This window comes from Homo sapiens, chromosome 2 (genome assembly GCF_000001405.40).
Source record: "Homo sapiens chromosome 2, GRCh38.p14 Primary Assembly".
Classification (NCBI taxonomy): domain Eukaryota; kingdom Metazoa; phylum Chordata; class Mammalia; order Primates; family Hominidae; genus Homo; species Homo sapiens.
This window is the reverse complement of record NC_000002.12, coordinates 218,686,076-218,704,563: the sequence shown is the minus strand read 5'-3', so window position 1 is coordinate 218,704,563 and position 18,488 is coordinate 218,686,076. Positions and strand designations below refer to the sequence as shown.

General features: G+C 46.4%; 1 protein-coding gene across 7 annotated transcripts in view, besides 2 other annotated features; it reads right to left on the bottom strand.

The window, feature by feature from the left end:
- The window catches only part of STK36 (serine/threonine kinase 36), a 30,632-nt gene continuing 13,990 nt past the window's right edge, over window positions 1,847-18,488 (bottom strand). For 2 of the 7 annotated variants that reach the window (XM_011510959.3, XM_047443931.1), the window contains exons 12-27: window positions 15,688-15,867; window positions 14,608-14,678; window positions 14,009-14,114; window positions 12,271-12,421; window positions 11,854-11,981; window positions 11,220-11,324; window positions 10,743-10,841; window positions 10,581-10,669; window positions 10,237-10,300; window positions 9,929-10,039; window positions 7,963-8,037; window positions 7,351-7,525; window positions 6,954-7,101; window positions 6,563-6,710; window positions 5,216-5,962; window positions 1,847-2,698 (exon numbers count right to left, since the gene is read on the bottom strand). In XM_011510959.3, the coding sequence (XP_011509261.1) occupies window positions 2,555-2,698; window positions 5,216-5,962; window positions 6,563-6,710; window positions 6,954-7,101; window positions 7,351-7,525; window positions 7,963-8,037; window positions 9,929-10,039; window positions 10,237-10,300; window positions 10,581-10,669; window positions 10,743-10,841; window positions 11,220-11,324; window positions 11,854-11,981; window positions 12,271-12,421; window positions 14,009-14,114; window positions 14,608-14,678; window positions 15,688-15,867 (2,541 nt within the window). In that variant the 3' untranslated portion in view covers window positions 1,847-2,554. Of the gene's footprint in view, window positions 2,699-5,215; window positions 5,963-6,562; window positions 6,711-6,953; window positions 7,102-7,350; window positions 7,526-7,566; window positions 8,038-9,928; window positions 10,040-10,236; window positions 10,301-10,580; window positions 10,670-10,742; window positions 10,842-11,219; window positions 11,325-11,853; window positions 11,982-12,270; window positions 12,422-14,008; window positions 14,115-14,607; window positions 14,706-15,687; window positions 15,868-18,488 lie in introns of those variants that run through there. The other 5 variants (XM_047443932.1, XM_017003804.3, NM_001369423.1 and 2 more) reach the window with 4 other exon arrangements.
- Window positions 5,018-5,518: an enhancer, noted in NCBI's record as "H3K4me1 hESC enhancer chr2:219563769-219564269 (GRCh37/hg19 assembly coordinates)". NCBI's record gives its function as "activates a minimal SCP1, AML or CMV promoter by ChIP-STARR-seq in naive H9 embryonic stem cells {active_cell/tissue: H9 hESC(naive)}" and the evidence as "EXISTENCE:reporter gene assay evidence [ECO:0000049][PMID:30033119]".
- Window positions 16,845-17,014: a silencer, noted in NCBI's record as "silent region_12324". NCBI's record gives its function as "represses an Ori minimal core promoter by ATAC-STARR-seq in GM12878 lymphoblastoid cells {active_cell/tissue: GM12878}" and the evidence as "EXISTENCE:reporter gene assay evidence [ECO:0000049][PMID:35858748]".

Here is an 18,488-nt window from a genome sequence, read left to right as displayed (position 1 = left end):
TAAAATAACCTGAGTAAGGCTGGGGCAGTGGCTCACACCTGTAACCCCAGCATTTTGGGAGTATCACTTCATCCCAGGAGTTCCAAACCAGCCTGGGCAACACAGTGAGACCCCATCTCTATAAAAAATACAAAAATGAGTCGGGCGCCTGTAGTCCGAGCTACTCGGGAGGCTGAGGTGGGAGGATTCCTTGAGCCTGAGAGGTCGAGGCTACAGTGAGCCATGATCATGCCACTGCCCTCCAGCCTGGGTGACAGAGCGAGACCCTGTCTCAAAAACAAACAAACACCAGAATAACAAAATAGATATGGTAGCTGCTCAAGTAGTGATGGAGTACACTGAACTATCCTCTACCTCTGTGTGTGTTCAAACATTTCCAACTGAAAGACAAGATGTTCACAATTGAACTCATTCCCACCCATTATCACTCCACTGCTAGCCTTCCCCATTTTAGTGAATGACAATTCCATTCTTCCAATTGCTCAGACCAAAAACCTTGGAGTCATCCCTGACTGCTTTCTTTTGGTCATACCCTCACCTCCAATCAGTCAAGAAATCCTGTTTGTTCCATGTTCAAAATATATTCAAAATTTGACTACTTTTTTATCACTCCATAGGTATCACCCCAGTCGCCATCCAGGACACCATTGTCTCTTGCCTGGATTATTATAACAATAGCCTCCTAACTGCTTATCCTACTTCGCATTCTCCCCTACTCCCCATAGCCATTCACAAGACCAGAATGAAGAATGATCCGTTTAGGATGCAAGGTAGTTCATAAAATTCTCTGTTCAAAAGCCTGCAATAGATGCCTCCTTCATTCAAAGTAAGAGCCCAAGTCTTCACCAAGGTCTACAAAGCCTACAATATCTGGCCCCCACCATTACCTTCCTGTCTCATTTCCTACTATTCTCCACCTTCTTTACTCACTTAATCCATACTGGTTCCTCATAGCTCCTCAAGCATGCCAGGCATGCTTTCATCTCAGGGCCTTGGCTTTTCCCCAAAATAGGTGCACAACTCACTCCCTCGCCTCCTTCGAGTCTTTTCTCAAGTGTCACCTTCTAGTGAGGCCTACCCTGACCATCCGACTCAGCACTCCTCATCTCCTTTCCCTGGTTTCTTTTTCTCCATAGCTTTTACCACCTTCCTACATACTATTCTTTTAATAATTTCACTATCTCCCCGACCAGAATGGAAACTCTATGATGGGCACTGTTTTATCTCCTGTACCTAGAATAGTATCTGGCATACAGAAAGGACTCAAAAAATATACATTGAACTGAATTGAGATAATCTGGATAGAAGAAAATTATGGTGCTCCCTAGAAAAATATTATTTTTGCTAAAGTATAAACACTGTGGACAATGAAGATGAGGGTTAAACAAAATTTCTTATAAAAATAAGGGCACTTTACTTGTCTTTCATTTCTAAAACAACTGGAATTTAAGGAAGGACAGAAAGGAGTCTCCTCATTTTATGGATGGAGAAATCAAGGCCCTGGAAGCTTGTTCTAAGCCATCCAATGAGTTAAGGTTTTCCAATGCTTCCAGTTAGATTATAATTCTAACAGGTCTGACTAAAAGCCCTTTCTGGTAAATTGTACAATCTTTAAAATAGCTATCCTTCTACAGCAGCTTGGAGTCCCTACACATTAGAACTCCACTAAATATTAAAATTAGTCACTAAGTCTGAGCAACCTAATTGACCGCTCTGTTGAATCTTACCCTTTCCTATTTCAGCTCCACCGGCCTTGACTTGAAAGTAGGTAACCAAATATAGTTCATCTAGGAAGGGGGAAATTGGTAAAGGCAAGAAATGATATAAATAAGCTGCCAGACCAGGATCTTGTGTGAACACGATACCAGCACCTCCAACACCACATAGAAGCTGAAAGAGGGGTTGAGCCTCTCAACCCTTGTCCTGGGAGCTTCAAGTATGGTGAGGCACAACTTTTATTAAAAGAGTTTACAAACAGAACTATTAAACACACACACACATACACACACACATATACACACACACCCCAAAAAAAGATACACTCTCCACGCCCACCCACAGATAGGAATGTTGGCTAAGGGATAATCCCTCAATAACAGGGACTGATGGCATTGATCCCCACAGCCTAGAGCTGAGACAGGCTCTGTCTTCATCACTGTCCTGGGGCCAGCACGTCTAAGGCAAAAACCTGCTGGGAAGATTAAAGGAGCTCCAGAAAGGAAGAGATCTTTCAGGTTGAGGTTTTTCCCTAAGGTCCGTGAGGCAGGTCCCTAGAGTTAAAGGCACATTATTGGAGAAAAGGCCCCTGGATGTAGAGAAGAAAGGACTCTTCTCTGGCACCAACAGCAATAAAATTTACTGGTTGAAAACATCCTGCATCTGGGAGAAGGAAGAAGCTTTATATATAAATCTCTTCTAGTTTCTTGTTCTCAGTTGAGTTGGCAGCTTATCTCTTTTCTAGTCTCTTTAGCTCTCAGTTGAGTTGGCGGCTTGTGTAGTAGAATAAGAAAGAGCTGGCAACCAAAGTTGGAGGCTGGACCGCAGGAATCTGGAATCACATGCTATGGGCTGGCCTCAGGAGGTGAATGAGTTTCCTGCAGTGTTTGGCAGAGGCAGGCCTAGGACTGCTGTGTGGCAGTGACTGATTCCCCAGAGAGAGCAAGGATAGTTTCTCACTGGCACCCAGGGACACCAGTACCTGTAGGATAGAGAACAGATGATAGAACAGAACATGAGGCTCAGAAATGGTGGTGTCTGGGGCAGGTGCGGAGGACTCTCATTTACCCAGGAATTCCCACTCGAGAAGAGGAAGAAAAAGGAAATGGGCTCTTGGGGACTTGGAATAGACTGAATGGCAGAAGAGAAACCTTGGAGATAGGAATCATCAGGACCAGAAGTCTACTTCCATTCTCTTTGGTTATAGACCATGAAACCAAGGCACTAAGGGACACATATACTTGTCCCCAGGAAGACTTGATGAATGCAGCAGTAACTCACAGTAAGCCAAAAGGTCTAATTCCTAGCCTTCAATGCAGACCAGTGAGTTCTAACCTCATTACCACCAAGAATCCCATTAATTATTTTCCCCATGGATTGCACAAGATTCCTATAGGATCTTCACCATCGGCCAGGCAAGGTGGCTCATGCCTGTAATCCCGTACTTTGGGAGGCCAAGGCGGGCGGGTCACGAGGTCAGGACATCGAGACCATCCTGGCTATCACGGTGAAACCCCGTCTCTACTAAAAAAAAAAAAAATACAAAAAATTAGCTGGGTGTGGCGGCAGGTGCCTGTAGTCCCAGCTACTCGGGAGGCTGAGGCAGAATGGCGTGAACCCGGGAGGCAGAGCTTGCAGTGAGCCAAGATCGCGCCACTGCACTCCAGCCTGGGGGCGACAAAGTGAGACTCCGTCTCAAAAAAAAAAAAAAGATCTTCACCATCCTCTCAAATTTCTGCTCTGCATGAACTTCCCAATGCTACCACTTTGAGATGTCATAATTTATATTACCATATGTAGATATCTGTGATTTCCAATGGGCTTTTTTTTTTTTTTGAGACAGAGTCTCGCTATGTCACCCAGGCTGGAATGCAGAGGCATGATCTCCGCTCACTGCAACCTCCTCCTCCCAGGTTCAAGGGATTCTCTTGCCTTAGCCTCCCGAGAAGCTGGGATTACAGGCGCCTGCCACCACACCCAGCTAATTTTTGTATTTTTAGTAGAGACAGGGTTTCACTATGTTGGCCAGGCTGGTCTCAAACTCCTGACCTCAAGTGATCCGCCCACCTCAGTCTCCCAAAGTGCTGGGATTACAGGCAAGAGCCACAGAGCCTGGCCTACTGGACTCTTTATATACTGAAAATCGCGGTCAGGCAGGGTGGCTCACACCTGTATTCCCAACACTTTGGGAGGCTGAGGCGGGTGGATCACTTGAGGTCAGGAGTTCAAGACCAGCCTGGCCAACATGGTGAAACCTTGTCTCCACTAAAAATGCAAAATTAGCCAGGTAAGGTGGTGTGTGCCTGTAATCCCAGCTACTTGGGAGGCTGAGACAGGAGAATCACTTGAACCTGGGAGGCAGAGGTTGCAGTGAGCCAACATTGTGCCATTGTACTCCAGCCTGGGCAACAGAGCGAGACTCCATCTTAAAAATAAATAAGTAAATAAATAAATAAATAAATAATAAAAATACAAAGATTAGCCGGGCATGGTGACAGGCACCTATAGTCCCGGCTACTCAGGAGGCTGAGGCACAAGAATTGGCTGAACCTGGAGGCAGAGGTTACAGTGAGCTGAGATTGCGCCACTGTATTCTGGCCTGGGCAACGAGTGATATTCAGTCTCAAAAAAAAAAAGAGTGGCTCACGCCTATAATCCCAGCACTCTGGGAGGCCAAGGCAGGTGGATCACCTGAGGTTGGGAGTTCGAGACCAGCCTGACCAACATGGAGAAACCTGTCTCTACTAAAAATACAAAATTAGCCAGGCGTGGTGGCACATGCCTATAATGCAGCTACTCGGGAGGCTAAGGCAGGAGAACTGCTTGAACCCGGGAGGCAGAAGTTGTGGTGAGCCGAGATCATGCCATGCACTCCGGCCTGGGCAGTACGAGTGAAACTCTGTCTCAGAAAAAAAAAAAAGGAAAAAGAAAGTTGCGCAGAAGAGGAAGGATAAAGTAGTGGTTAAGAGTACGGGCTCTGGACTCAGACTTCTGAGTTCAAAAGCCCAATCCTACATACTGTCCTTGTAATTTGGACAAGTTATTAAATTATTTGTGCCTCAGTTTCCTCATCTGCAAAATTAGGATAATAATAGTTTAAACCAGATAATAAAGGTAAAATGCTTAGCATCGTGCTTTTCTCATGGTAAGTCTAAAAAAAAAATAGTCAGCACCTTCATGGCACACAGAGTAAAACTACTCTATCTCAGCATCTCTTAGTCTTCCCTCATCTCCCTCCTGCACAGCCTCTAGAAGAGATCAACTGTGGTCCTTGAGATCTCAGACATTTCCCAGCCCATTGGAGCCCTCTTCTAGCTCCCTTCCCTCCTCCAAGGCAGGAGATGTAACTAGAAAACTCACTCCAAGACACTGTCCCTGGGAGAAACACGGCATAAGTTTCTCCATGTCCCGATTCCAATTCCTTACAGATGATCTCAGAGAAATGTTGTCAACTATAGGGGCCCTGATCATCATGGTTCATAAGTGCTGTAGGGTATACCTGATGGATGCCAGGCTCCTGTTGCAGGCTCCGGAGGGCAATGAGGGCAGCCTCCTTCACATTTGGCTGGGGGTCTCCACATGCCATTTCTAGGAGCCGCTGGGGTACTTCGCACTGTAACAGCTCCTCTCCCAAACCTTCAGGTCCCAAGTTGCCCAGAGCTGATGCAACATTGCGCCGGATACCAGCCTGAGGATCTCCAAGCAGCTGGGTCATACTGGGCACTGCAGCTGCCAGGGCAGGTCCCAGAGGACCAGCCTGGTAGGCTGCATTGCCCACAGCAAAGCTGGCACTGCACCGCACAACAGGATCCTTGTCTCCAAGCCCAAGCAGCAGAAGGCTGAGCAGTCCAGACTGGCTCTGCAGTGCCCCACGCAGGGCCATGCTGTGTTGGAGCAAGTGTCCCAGGAGCCTATAAGTGTGTGCCCGCACAGAATTCTCTGGGTGGCCCAGGAGGCTGCGCAGGGGCCGATAGGATTCATCAGAGCCAGCCAGAAGCTCTTGGATAAAGGACAAGTGGCTGGGAGACAGGACCCTGGCAGTATGGGCCAGCAGAGAGAGAAGGTCGGAGGTCAACAGTGGCTGGTCACTCAGGAGGGCAACTGAGAGAAACGAGACGATGGTTCTAGGGGAGGCAGACACTGTGTTCACAAACTGGTTGAGAGAGGTGGGATCCATGAGGGCCAGGCGTGTGAGAAGGCTGATGGGCAGCTCCACTTGCATCAACGGAAGATGGTAGCAGCAGACCTGAGAGAACAGGAGGTAAAAGGATTCAGGGAGAGAGAGAGTATATGCAGCTATAAAGAAGCCCAAAACCTGGGAGAGAGAAAAGCCAAGCTATGGTGAGAAATGCCACAGAGAGCTGGAAGTCCTGCCCCACAGCACTCCACATGAGACACAACGTGGAGCCTGAGAGAGCAGGTTCTTTCCAAGATCATTCCTTACTTTGCAAGGGCTCAGTCTCTGCCTTCAAAGACCCACTGTGAAAAAACAAAAAGAAACAACAAAAGAACAAAGACCCACTGTGCAATGCCAAGAATTGCCAGAAACATGATTCCTGGCCAAGGAGGTGAGTCTTCAGTGCCTAGACTAGGATGTTCTCCCCAATGAGCACCAACAGAACCAGGTGATGGACTGATGGAGAGGAGGAGGCACCAACCCAGCTCCCACCACATGCCTCCACCACATGCGCAGGTCTGAGTACTGTCTCCACGCCAACTTTTGAGTCAAGCCAGCTGTTCCATGCTTACAGGGGCCTAGAAGAGCCCTGGAGCTGCTGGGAAGTAAATTAGAGGATACAAGGTTGGCTATCTTCCTCTCCCACCTTCATGCTAGCTGCCCAAGTACCTGCAGCAGATGGGCTGCAACTTCTGAGTCCCTGAGGTCGGCCAAGACACCTATAAGGAGGTCAGCATCCATGTCCAGCGCAAAGGGGAAGCAAAGGAGCTGGCAGACAGAGAGCACCACGACAGGGAGAAACTCAGACCCATGAGGCCTAAGGAGAGGAATGTCGAAGAGACTTGGTCTTGTTCACTTAACCTTTATCATTCCTCCCTCCCTCCTCCAATTCCTTTGCCCAACTCCCCTTCTACAGTCTCAGCCACTACTTAGGTTTCCAGCCTAAACCTGATCTCATCTTTCTTGCTTTATAGCTCAATCTGTCAGTAACTTCTTTCCTGCCTTCTTCTTTCTCCCTCCCCGTTGCTGACTCTGTGGCTCTCTTCTAGCTCAAACTCACGCCTGGCGCAGTTGATTCAGGAAGCTGGGGCAAAGCAGATGCTTCAGGATGGACATGAGGATACTTCCATGCTGGGACAGGCAGCTCAGGCATAACTGGGGCTCCTGGGTAAAGGTGGCCATGGCCAGGCTCAGCAGGGCTGCCATGCCTGGTAACACCAAAAATGGAGACCCAATGGAACAGGCAAGACGCCCAGATACCCCTGCTTCCCCACAGCTCCCAGGGCTACACCTATTCAGTCCCTTCCCCATCTTAGAGCAGCTCTAGTGCAGACACTGCTTCCTGTCCCCAGGCAAAAGCAAAAAAAATAAACCTCTGTGGGTTAACCCAGTTCTGGGCTGCCTCCTCTTGAAGAGAGATCAATGCACTCCCAAAAAGGATACTGATAGAAAGATACCCTGGGGAGAAATCAGTGTCCAGTCTGGCTCAGGGCTTGGTGGACTGGATAGCGAAAGCTCCCCTTCCTGTGCAGATGCCTCCTCGGGGAGCCTCAGGACCATGGAGAAGCGGTGCCACAAAACGGTCCACATTTCTGAACTGGACATATCCCTGATTAGGCTAGCCTTCCCCTGCTAGAGATAAAAGTGAAAGAGGGCGGGGGGAAAGACAGAAGTCAGGAATCCAAATGCTTTTATTCATTCCTGTCCCTGACTTACAAGTAAAGGAAGTCCCAGAAATAATTCCTTCCGCTTTCCCACCTAGTATTTCCCTGTCGTCTTATTTCATTTTCTTATCAAACCTTAACCCTCTGACCTCACAACTCATGTGTATGTCTGCTGAAACCCAGGGAATTCATTTTATCTCCCACTGGATCCCAGGGGACGCAGCGAATGGTTTCCTTCAAAGGGTCAGTACTGAGGGCAGGCGGGGAAGTTCCAAGGCTATCACAGGCACAGTAGCTTGAGAGGGAAGGCTGTGGGTTGCTTCTTCATTCCTCTGGTCCAGAGGCTCCCCAAAATGCCCAGTTCCTCTCTCTTTACTTCCCATCCATCCCAAGATCCATCTGTACCTCAGTGAGGAGCTGCAACAGAAGGATAAGGAGGCCATCATAGAATCCACAACTACCTGGTGGAGTCAACCGAACCTGTCAGAGAGAAACATGAAGAATGCAGGTGCCTAAGAGGAATGGGGTGTCCGTTAAACCAAGGCAGGTCAGTGATGGTGCCATGGAGGGAACAGATTTGAGAGTCAACCGGAAGGTAGAATATATGGGGCCTGGGGGAACCATTTCGGTGGGGGAATAATGGGGAAGAGAGAACAGTCACTGATGACTCCCAAAGTTCTGACTTAGACTTCTGGATGAGTGTTAGTGCTATCACTAGTGATACAACCTCTCTGAAGGCTAACTTAGTCTAGAAAAAGCAGATGAGTATTATTACATTGGTGTGTCTATATTTCAAGTGTGTTGTGGGATAACATGTGAAAATGTTTTATAAATTATAAAGAATTCAGCCACTGAGGTAGCTCACGCCTGTAATCCCAGCACTTTGGGAGGCTGAGGCGGGGGGATCAGGAAGTCAGGAGTTCCAGACCAGCCTGGCCAACATTGTGAAACCCCGTCTCTACTAAAAATACAAAAATTAGCTGGGCATGGAGGTGTGCACCTGTTGTCCCAGCTACTCAGGAGGATAAGGCAGGAGAATCGCTTGAACCCAGGAGGTGGAGGTTGCAGTGAGCCGAGATCACGCCACTGCACTCCAGCCTGGTGACAGAGTGAGACTGCATCTCAAAAAAAAAAAAAAAAAAAAGAATTCTACATATATAAAGATGGCAGGCTGGGCACAGTGGCTCATTCCTGTAATCCCAGCACTTTAGGAGGCTGAGGCGGATGGATCACTTGAGGTCAGGAGTTCGAGACCAGCCTGGCCAACATGGTGAAACCCCATCTCTACTAAAAACACACAAAAAAATTAGCCAGGCATGGTGGTGTATACCTGTAATCCCAACTACTTGGGAGGCTGAGGCAGGAGAATCACTTGAACCTGGGAGGCGGAGGTTGTAGTGAGCCAAGATCGTGCCACTACACTCCAGCCTGGGCGACAGAATAAGACTCCGTCTCAAAAAAAAAAAAAAAAAAAAAAAAGACTGGACATGGTGGCTCACACCTATAATCCCAGCACTTTGAGAGGCCGAGGTGGGCGGATCACATGTGAGGTCAGGAGTTCGAGACCAGCCTGACCAACATGGAGAAACCCTGTCTCTACTAAAAATACAAAAATTAGCTGGGCATGGTGGTGCATGCCTGTAATCCCAGCTACTCGGGAGGCTGAGGCAGGAGAATCGCTTGAACCCAGGAGGCAGAGGTTGCGGTGAGCCGAGATCGCGCCATGGCACTCCAGCCTGGACAAGAGTGAAACTCCATCTCAAAAAAAAAAAAAAAAAAAAAAAGGGATGACAATAATTTGATTATAAAGTCTATCCTTCTTTTTACAAAATGAAGGAAAGATGAGTTCCAAAGGGTCTAAAAATGAAAGGAAGAAAAGTCCTGGGAAAGGAGAAAGCAGAAAGAAGGCTACATAATGGACTGAGTTCCTGAAGAATTCACAGGATGTCAGCCACCTTTTCCATCTGTTAAGAAGAACAAGTGGGGAAAGCAGAGTGGAAGCTGCAGTCAGAGGTGAAATTATGCATTAGGAAGGACTCTGCCAAGAGCATGAGCTTCTGGAGGAGGAGAACGAAGCAGGCAGGGTTCTCACACTACTCAGAAAACTCAGGTTAGTCACCCTTCCTCTTCCCTTCCCTCCCTCACTCTCTAGAAGCTCTGCATATTAAAAAGAAATCTAAAGTCCAGATCAATCTGGGCTCAGAGGGGCCTATCATCCGGCGACAAATCTAGAAAAGGAAGGGCTCCTTGATTCCTTTTCCATTCCTCAGTTTACTCCAGGCTTGCTGGCATTTCAGTCTTTTCCCCTTGAATGCAGTCCTAGTGTCTGACTCAGAGAAAACATGTCTGTGCCCTCCCTGGGGGGCCTCACCTCTGCAGGGGCAGACAAGGCATGTGTGGCTGCAGCCATCCATTCCATGGGCTGGAGGTCAAAGGTCACCCCTTGCTGACCAAGCTGTCCCAATAGACAGGCTGCTGCACTCTGTGGGAGAGGTAAAAGAGGAGAAAGAATGTCCAAATCTAAATGGCATTCAGGACAGGCAGAGAGGATTTATGTCTCTGTCCTGGTCCAAAAGAATGCCTCCAGAAACAGATGCAAATTGGATAGTGACTCCCCCACTTCCACAAGGGGTAGATGCTAGGGTGAAAAGGGGAGGAGGGTGAAGGTTAAAAACTTACCACAAGAGAGACGACATGCGAATGGGTAAAGAGAGTAGCAACGTCACTGCCTAGCTTCTCCATTCTGGAATAAAGAGATACATCAAGGGATGCAGCAGTATTAAAGGAGGTTGGTAAGCGGCCTCCCCTCTCCCTTGCATGGTGTTCTTCACCTAGGCTGCATGTCTACCTCCAAGGCACAAAGTTGATGGGAGTCTAGGTCTGTTCTTTGTAGAGAAAGCTTCACGCTCTCTATCCCAATTCCTCCTAAGGATATGCTGTAGGGTACCATTCCCCATACTCTTTGTGAGGGTTAGCTATGTGGCTAGAAGACTTCTGTGGAGACACCCTACTTTATGACTTACCCACAAGGCAGGTTTTGGAGCCGAAAGACAAGAAGGGAGAGGAAGTAGAGTGTCACTTCAGTAGACTCTTCCCAATCTACTACTTTTACCTACAAAGGAAACCTAAGATATCAGAACAACCTCTGGCTGAGACAGTGGGGCTGCCAGGGGAAGCTGGCTTACCTTGCCCTGAATCAACATAAACAGGGATTCCAAGGCCAGGGGCTCCTGCCCCAGAAGACGGCACAGGCCCTCACTGACAAGGCAGCAGGAGTATAGAACCTGAGGGAGAAGGAAGGAGTCTGGCAGTGAGGCAGGGCAGGCCCCGGGCTCCAAGATTGAAGGCTCAGCGGAAACACCGGCCAGCCCCTCAAAAGATCTGGTACCCACACTTGGGAGTGTGAGAGAACCCCCTTCTGCCTCTTGCTATGAGATAGTGAGACAGGGACCCTTCTCGGTTCCGCTGAGGACTGGCTAACAGTGGGGTCCTCTCAGTTGAACAGATTTAAAAGCAGAAAGGAGTCTTCCAAGGGGGTGTCTCAAATGGTCTCTCTCAGTCTCTCTCTCTTTTAGTCCTCCTCTCTTGGTCTGTTTCTCTGCTTCTCTGTCTGCACTGGGAGTTAAAAATAAAGCTGTGATGCCAGGAGTTAAGAGGATTACCTTGAGAAGGTGCAGGCACAGGATGGGATGCTGCAGGCCAGAGATGAGGGATGGCCTGAGCTGGCTGCTGTCTTCAGTTAGCTGATTTGCCAAATGCCAACAGACCTATAGAGACATACCTGAAGGCTCAATCCTATCCACATGATTACAACCCTATTCCTCACATATGTCCAAAATGATCAGGACTCTCAGTCTCTTCCTAGTCACTCTTCCCACATTCACCAGAAACCTCAGACCCCATTCTATTCCCAGTCTTCATCACCAATAGAGAACCAAAAGTCATGGCCTAGTTTGGCCCCAGTGTAGCCAGGTACAGAGGAAAGGATTACCGACCAACAGGGATCAGGAAAGCTGAATTCTCAGCCCTTGAGGAAGCATCACTGGAGGCTTCAGATCAGCTGCCCCACCATCTGGGCAGTTTATCACTGTGCTCTCTCCCTCACCAACTGGCCATGGGCTCTGGGATTCTGGCTATATCATGTTCTACAAATGGCCCAGGGTGGGAGCATCTGTTTCTGGAAGTACTAAAGGAGGGGCTTAAAAGCTTGTTTTTCTGCCTTTCTGAAAAACTGGGGCTAGCCTCCTCAATTCCTCTGGCAGTAGGATGAGAGGAACAACCAATTGTAGCTCGGACCTGCTCCTTGGCATCCCAGCAGTCGGGCAGTCCCACAGGAGCAGTGCATATGGCTGCCAGGGCAGAGGAAATGGCTCCAGGTATATCCTCACTCTGCTCTCGCAGTGGCTGGCTCACTTGCGGGGCTCCTGTGGAGAAAAGCAAAGAGTAACTCCAAAGGCCTGAGGCTCTTGCCCTAGACAATAGCACCAGTACTCACCGACATGGCAGCAGGAGTAGGGAACCTAAGGGAGTGGGAAGAATGCAGGATGAGGTCTGTTTGTTTCCCTCAGATCCCCATTCATTCTCTCAGTTCACAGTTATTTATTGAGCACCTACTAAATGCCAGGTGCGATCTAGGTGATGGCAATAGAAAGAGCGGAGCCTGACCTATGCAACAAGTAAGTCAAGAGAACCTCCCTTCTCCACTCTGGTTACCTTGGGGAGTGTGGACAGGGAGCTGTGGAACTGTCAAGCCATGAAGGAGCCCATCCAAGACAACCTGCTGTGTCGTCAGCAAGCTGGAGTAAAAGGCTTTGGAGATGGCCCGGCTGTTCCCATCCATGGCTTCGCACAGGACAGTAAAGCACTAAAGGAGAGAAGTGCAGAGGTAGCATCAGGGCATCAGAAGACTGGGCTTAGTGTAAAAAACAAGAAAACCCTGAGGATCTGAGGAAAGAGGACAAAAACCAAAGCAAACACATGTCTAATTTTAAGCATTCTTCACACCAAAAATGCATTAGAACTGCTTTCATTCATGCTTCAAGGACAATAATTTTAGGTGTCAATCCTTCTATTCTCTGATCAGATGCTCCCTAGATGATGTTTCTCAAAGTATTTTTTATAGACTGTGAGTATAAGAATTCCTAGGGGTCAGGTGCAATGGCTCATGCCTGTAATCCCAACAGGGGATTGGGAGGCCGAGGCAGGTGGATCACTTGAGCTCAGAAGTTTGAGACCAACCTGGGCAACATGGCAAAACCCTGTCTCTACTAAAAATCCAAAAAAAATAGCCAGGTCTGGTGGTGTGCACCCATAGTCTCAGCTACTCAAGAGGCCGAGATGGGAGGATTGCTTGAGCCCGGAGGGTGGAGGTTGCAGTGAGTCAAGATCATGCCACTGCACTCTAGCCTGGGTGACAGAGAGACCCTGTCTCCAAAAAAAAAAGGAAAGAAAAGAAGAAATCCTAGGGATTCCTGGGTCCCTCCCAACTCAGTCCTACTGATTCAGAATTTCAGGAGGTAATTATTCCAAACTCCCCATTCTATTCATAGCATATGACATGAGAAGTGCTGGCCAATAGCATGAGTCACTGCTGGCCAAAATTTAGGTTAGACAGTAAAAGCTTTCTGACTTGAAAGGGTGAGGGATATTAAAACAGGATCTCAGACCAGGAAAGTCTGAGTGAATGCTAGCTAAAGGCAAGTAGTAGTCCAGATCTATGTTCCCAATTACCAGTTTTAACAATGACCAGGCAATTATTTACTTCCTTACAAATATATGTTCCTCTCTATCTCCTCTGAGGTTAGTCAGAACACAGCTATTTTCTCATTCAATCCTCCATTCTCCTGTCCCTTACCTCCAGGATCTAGGGAAAAGAACTGCATAGTCTACTAATCCTCAGGACAAACGAGGTTAGACAATACTAGATGATCTGCAAGTCTTTTCAAGAAGAAGTCGTTCTATTTGTGGTCCCCTGAAATATGCCAAACTGCTTAAAGCCTCTGGGCCTTTATATATGTTACTCTTTCTGTATAGAATTTCTACTTTGTGCCTCATTTACGTGGCAAACTGCGATGTATTCTTCAAATGCTAGCAGAGATGATTTCCTTCTTCGAGATTTCTTCTATGATACTCCAAATAGTGTTAAGTGCATCTTCTGCAGTGGTTAACTGCATCTTCTTCATAAAATACAGCAGTGCTCTTGTATTATATGCAAAGTTCTAATGTACTTTTCACTGTTGTCCTTAATCCCTTTACCTCTCCCCTATTAAATTATCCCTAGTCCCTTGAAGGCAGGCACTTTTTCTTACTCACATGGCATATGGCATGGTGGGAATTTAACAAATGTTTGTCATATTAACTTGATCTGACCCTACATAGTCATAAGAAAGGGGATGGGAGAAACACGGAGAATGATAGGAGACACAGAAATCTGGAAGTGGGAGCAGATTACCATAAGGCTGTCCCTCCGCAAAGTCTGCTCAGAGTCATCTGGTTGGGCCAGCAGTTTCCCCAACAGGTCCAGAAAAAGGTTGGCAGCCTCCTGAAACACCTGCAGGCTGGGGGTGGAAAATGAGCCCATGATTTCTTATCTCTCTACTAAAAGCCTGGATGTGGTGAATGGGTCAGTCCTGGGCAGGTAGGAGAATCTCTGCAAAGGGACACATCAGAATGTTCCTCCCTTCTCCCTTGCCACACACACACATACACCCTCCAAGCCCCTTCTTTGCCATTTTCTCTAGGTTATTCGCATATTTTTTTTCTTTCTTTCTTTCTTTAATCCAATTGGCTTCCTGGAATAGGTTATTCACATCTTGACCCTTCCATTTTAGGACCATGGTGACTGCTGACTCTTAGAAACTGTAAGTCTTGAGGCCAAGTTGGAGCTGTCTTAGGGTCCTTAAAAGGACTATGAGTGGCCACTCAGCTGATTCCTAAACCTGTAACAAATCACAGCTTCTTCATACTTGGCCTGTTCCTAAATGGGAAGGGCACTTGGGGTAGAAACAGAAGCCAAACTTGCCAACAATGCAAAAGCACTTCTTATCCTACCTGTCACTTGTCTGGCTCCTCTCCAGATTGAAGGTACAGGCAAAGTAGGCCTGAATCACAGCCATCAGGTCCTGTAAGAAGGTCCCATACCAAGATTGCTGCCCAGGAAAAGGAGAAGAGAGTAAGGGCAATGTGAAGGATGGAAACAAAGAATAGAAAAAACAGTAGAAAGGGTGTATAGAGACCCAGTCAAGTTGATCAAACAGAAAGGGACAGAAGAGAAGTATAGGCAGAGAGAGAGTTCTAGGGGTAACAGAGAATCTGCCAATGGGCTGTGAACAGCCTGGATTAAATGTGTCTTGTTTGGCCTGAATAGCATTTTGGAGTATAGGAGGTTCTATTTTTCAAAAATCTTTTTCTCTAAATTCCTTAAAATCACCCAAGATTAATACTCATCAACAAAGTGCAGCTTTCCAGCTGCCTCATCCTAGGCCCTATTAGGCATTTACACTGACTCTGAAACATTCCCCATCCTCTCAGTCCAGCTACCGTAGGACACAGCAGGGGGAAGTAGAGGTTTGGCCCCAAACACATTGAGTCTCTATCCCAGCTCTTCCACTTGTTATCTCTGTGACCATTTACAAATTAGTGACTGTGTATGAGTTACCTCTGAATTTTAGTACTCTGCTCTGTAAGATCAGGTCAATGAAGCCTAGGATCTAACATTTCAAAGCACAGCGCTCTAAATATTTAAAAATTACACATAAAAATTTGGGTTTCTACCTTTTCTTAGAAAACTAGAAGATCTGGCTAGTTTTCTCAGGCCCATATTTCCCTGTGGCAACAATGGGCTGGAGGCTGAGGAAAGGATGCCTCTACTCTATTTAGAGGAGGCATGTGAACTCTAGTTCATCATATTCCCCACAACTCATATAGTCACATGCATAGCCTACTTCATGGCAGACCTTATCTGCCTGGCCCCAGAAGGCATTAGAGTTTGCAATTAATAGTCTACTAACTAGAAAGAGGAGGAAAGAAAATAAAAGGCAGTCAGACCAAAGAGAGATGGCAATCTGAATGAGATAAATCCAAGAAAAAGAACCTCTGTAAGTCTTCAGAGGCTTCTGGCCTGGTGCTTACCTGCTGGAGGCTGTTGCTCTCCTGACTGTGCCTGAGTAGACTCAGCAGCAGCCCAGGAAGCCCTGCCTCCCGGCAGAAGGAATACAAGGCAACAGAATCACTGCAGCTGGAGAGAAGACTGCTCAGGACCCGGAATGCAGGCAGGATGTGGGAAGCACCCTCCAAGATGCCTTTCAGGATCTGGGTGACATGAGGGAAAGAGGCAACGATTGATATTTTCAGAGGTAAAAGAAGGAGAACTACACATACCAAGCATCCCCAAGGAGCTGGGAAAGCAGACCACATGCTTGCATTCCTTTCTTTGCAAGTCTAAAACACAGAGAAGGAAAGCAGGGAAATAGGGGAACTGTACCAGGGAAGAAGACAATAGATGGTCAGGTTACCTAACACAGAACACCAGTGACCAACGGATAGGGGCCTCTCCTCAGGATCTCTGTCAGACTAAGTGCCATTCCCATCTGCTCCCTCCCTTCTCCAGCCCTTCACCTTAAAAACAAAAAACACGTGCACCGCACATGCTTCTGAAAATTCAAAACAATGCATATAAAACAATATTATTTAACCACAGAAAGACAAAACAACATTATTCAACTCTAGATCAGGGTTGACAAACTATGGCTCACAGGTCAAATCCAGCCTAACATTTATTTGTATACAGCCTGCATGCTAAGGATAGTATTATATTTTTATTTATTTTTGCCCTTTATTTATTTTTCGAGACAGAGTTTCACTCTTGTCCTCCAGGCTGGAGTGTAATGGTGCAATCTTGGCTCACTGCAACCTCTCTGCCTCCTGGGTTCAAGTGATTCTCCTGCCTCAGCCTCCCAAGTAGCTGGGATTACAGGTGCCCACCACCACACCTAGCTAATTTTTGTATTTTTAGTAGAGATGGGATTTCACCATGTTGGCCAGGCTGGCCTCAAACTCCTGACCTCAAGTGATCCTCCCACCTCAGCCTCCCAAAGTGCTAGGATTACAGGCGTGAGCCACCATGCCTGGCCAGTATTGTATTTTTAAATGGTTATTCTTCAAAAGAAGAACATTTACACCAAGTATTTTATAATATTCCATTAGCTGTTCTAAATGTTGGCATCTGCTCATTTAATATTTACAATAACCCTGTGAAATAAATAGAATTAGCCATTTTATAGATGAAGAAACTGAAGCTTCTGCATAAGTCAAGTAAGTAGTCCAAGATCACGCAGCTAATGAGTAGTGCAGCTGGAATTCCACCAGAGGGAGTCTTATCCCTAAAGGCAGAGCTTTCAGTCTGCCTCCCCACACTGCAAGTTATCCAACACTAGGAGGAAAACGTGTTAGCGCCAAAAGACAAGTGCAAAGTGCCAAGCCAATTCAATGAGGAAAGGAGAGTTCTTTTCCACAAATGGTGCCAGGACAATTATATATCCACATGCAAAAACGATCAACTTAGATCCTTTCCTCACATTATATACAAAAATTAGCTCAAGATGGATCAGAAACCTACATGTAAGAGCTAAAACTATAAAACTTAGGAAAAGAGAAAATCTTTAAGACCTTGCATTTGGAAAAGATTTCTTATACACAACATCAAAAGTATGAACCACAAAGGGAAAAAACAGTAACTGAACTTAAATCAAAATTCAACATTTTTTGCTTCAAAAGACACTCTTATGAGAAAGAATGAAAAGACAAACCACAGACTGGGAGAAAATATTTGCAAATCACCCATCTGATAAAGGTCTTATGTTGACAATATACAAAGAAGTCTTACAACTCAATAACGCAAACAACCAAATTAAAAACTGAGCAGAAGATTTGAGATATTTCACCAAAGAAGATATACAAATGGTGAATAAGCCATGAAAAGATGTTCAACATTCATCATTAGTGGAATGTAAATTAAAATAACAATGAGATACTATCTCACACTTACTAGAATGGCTATAGTAAAAAAGTTAGACAATAACAAGTGTTGACAAGGATGTGAAGAAACAAGGACCCTCATATAATACTGGTGGGAATGTAAAATGGTACAGCCACTTTGGAAAATAGTTCAGCAGTTTCTTAAAATGTTAAATATAAATTTACCATATGACCAGCAATTCTACTCCTACGTAGTTACCCAAGGGAAATAAAAACATTTATCCATACATAGACTTGCTTGTGAATGTTCATAGCAGCATTATTCATAAAAGCTAAAAAGTGGAAACAACCCAATACATCAATATCTAATCAACTAGTGAGTGGATAAACAAAATGTGATATATCCATATAACGGAATACTAACCAGCTATAAAAAGGGGAATAATGATTAACTGTAAATGGGGGCTGGGGGCAGTAGCTCATACCTATAATCCTAGCACTTTGGGAGGCCAAGGTGGGAGGATTACTTGAGCCCACTTGAGCCCAGGAGTTCCAGACCAGCCTGGGCAACATGGTAAAACCCTATCTCTACAAAAAATACAAAAAATTAGCTAAGCATGGTGGTGCACGCCTGTAATCCAAGCTACTTGAGATGCTGAGACATGAGAATCCCTTGAACCAGGGAGGCAGAGGCTGCAGTGACCCAAGATTGTGCTACAACACTCCAGCCTAGATGACAGAGTGAGACCCCATCTCAAAAATTAAAAATAAATAAATAAATAAATTTTAAAAAGGCTGGGCACGGTGGTTCACGCCTGTAATCCCAGCACTTTGGGAGGCTGAGGCGGGCGGATCACAAGGTCAGGAGTTCAAGACCAGCCTGGCTAAGATGGTGAAACACCATCTCTACTAAAAATACAAAAAAATTAACCGGGCGTGGTGGCACGAGCCTGTAA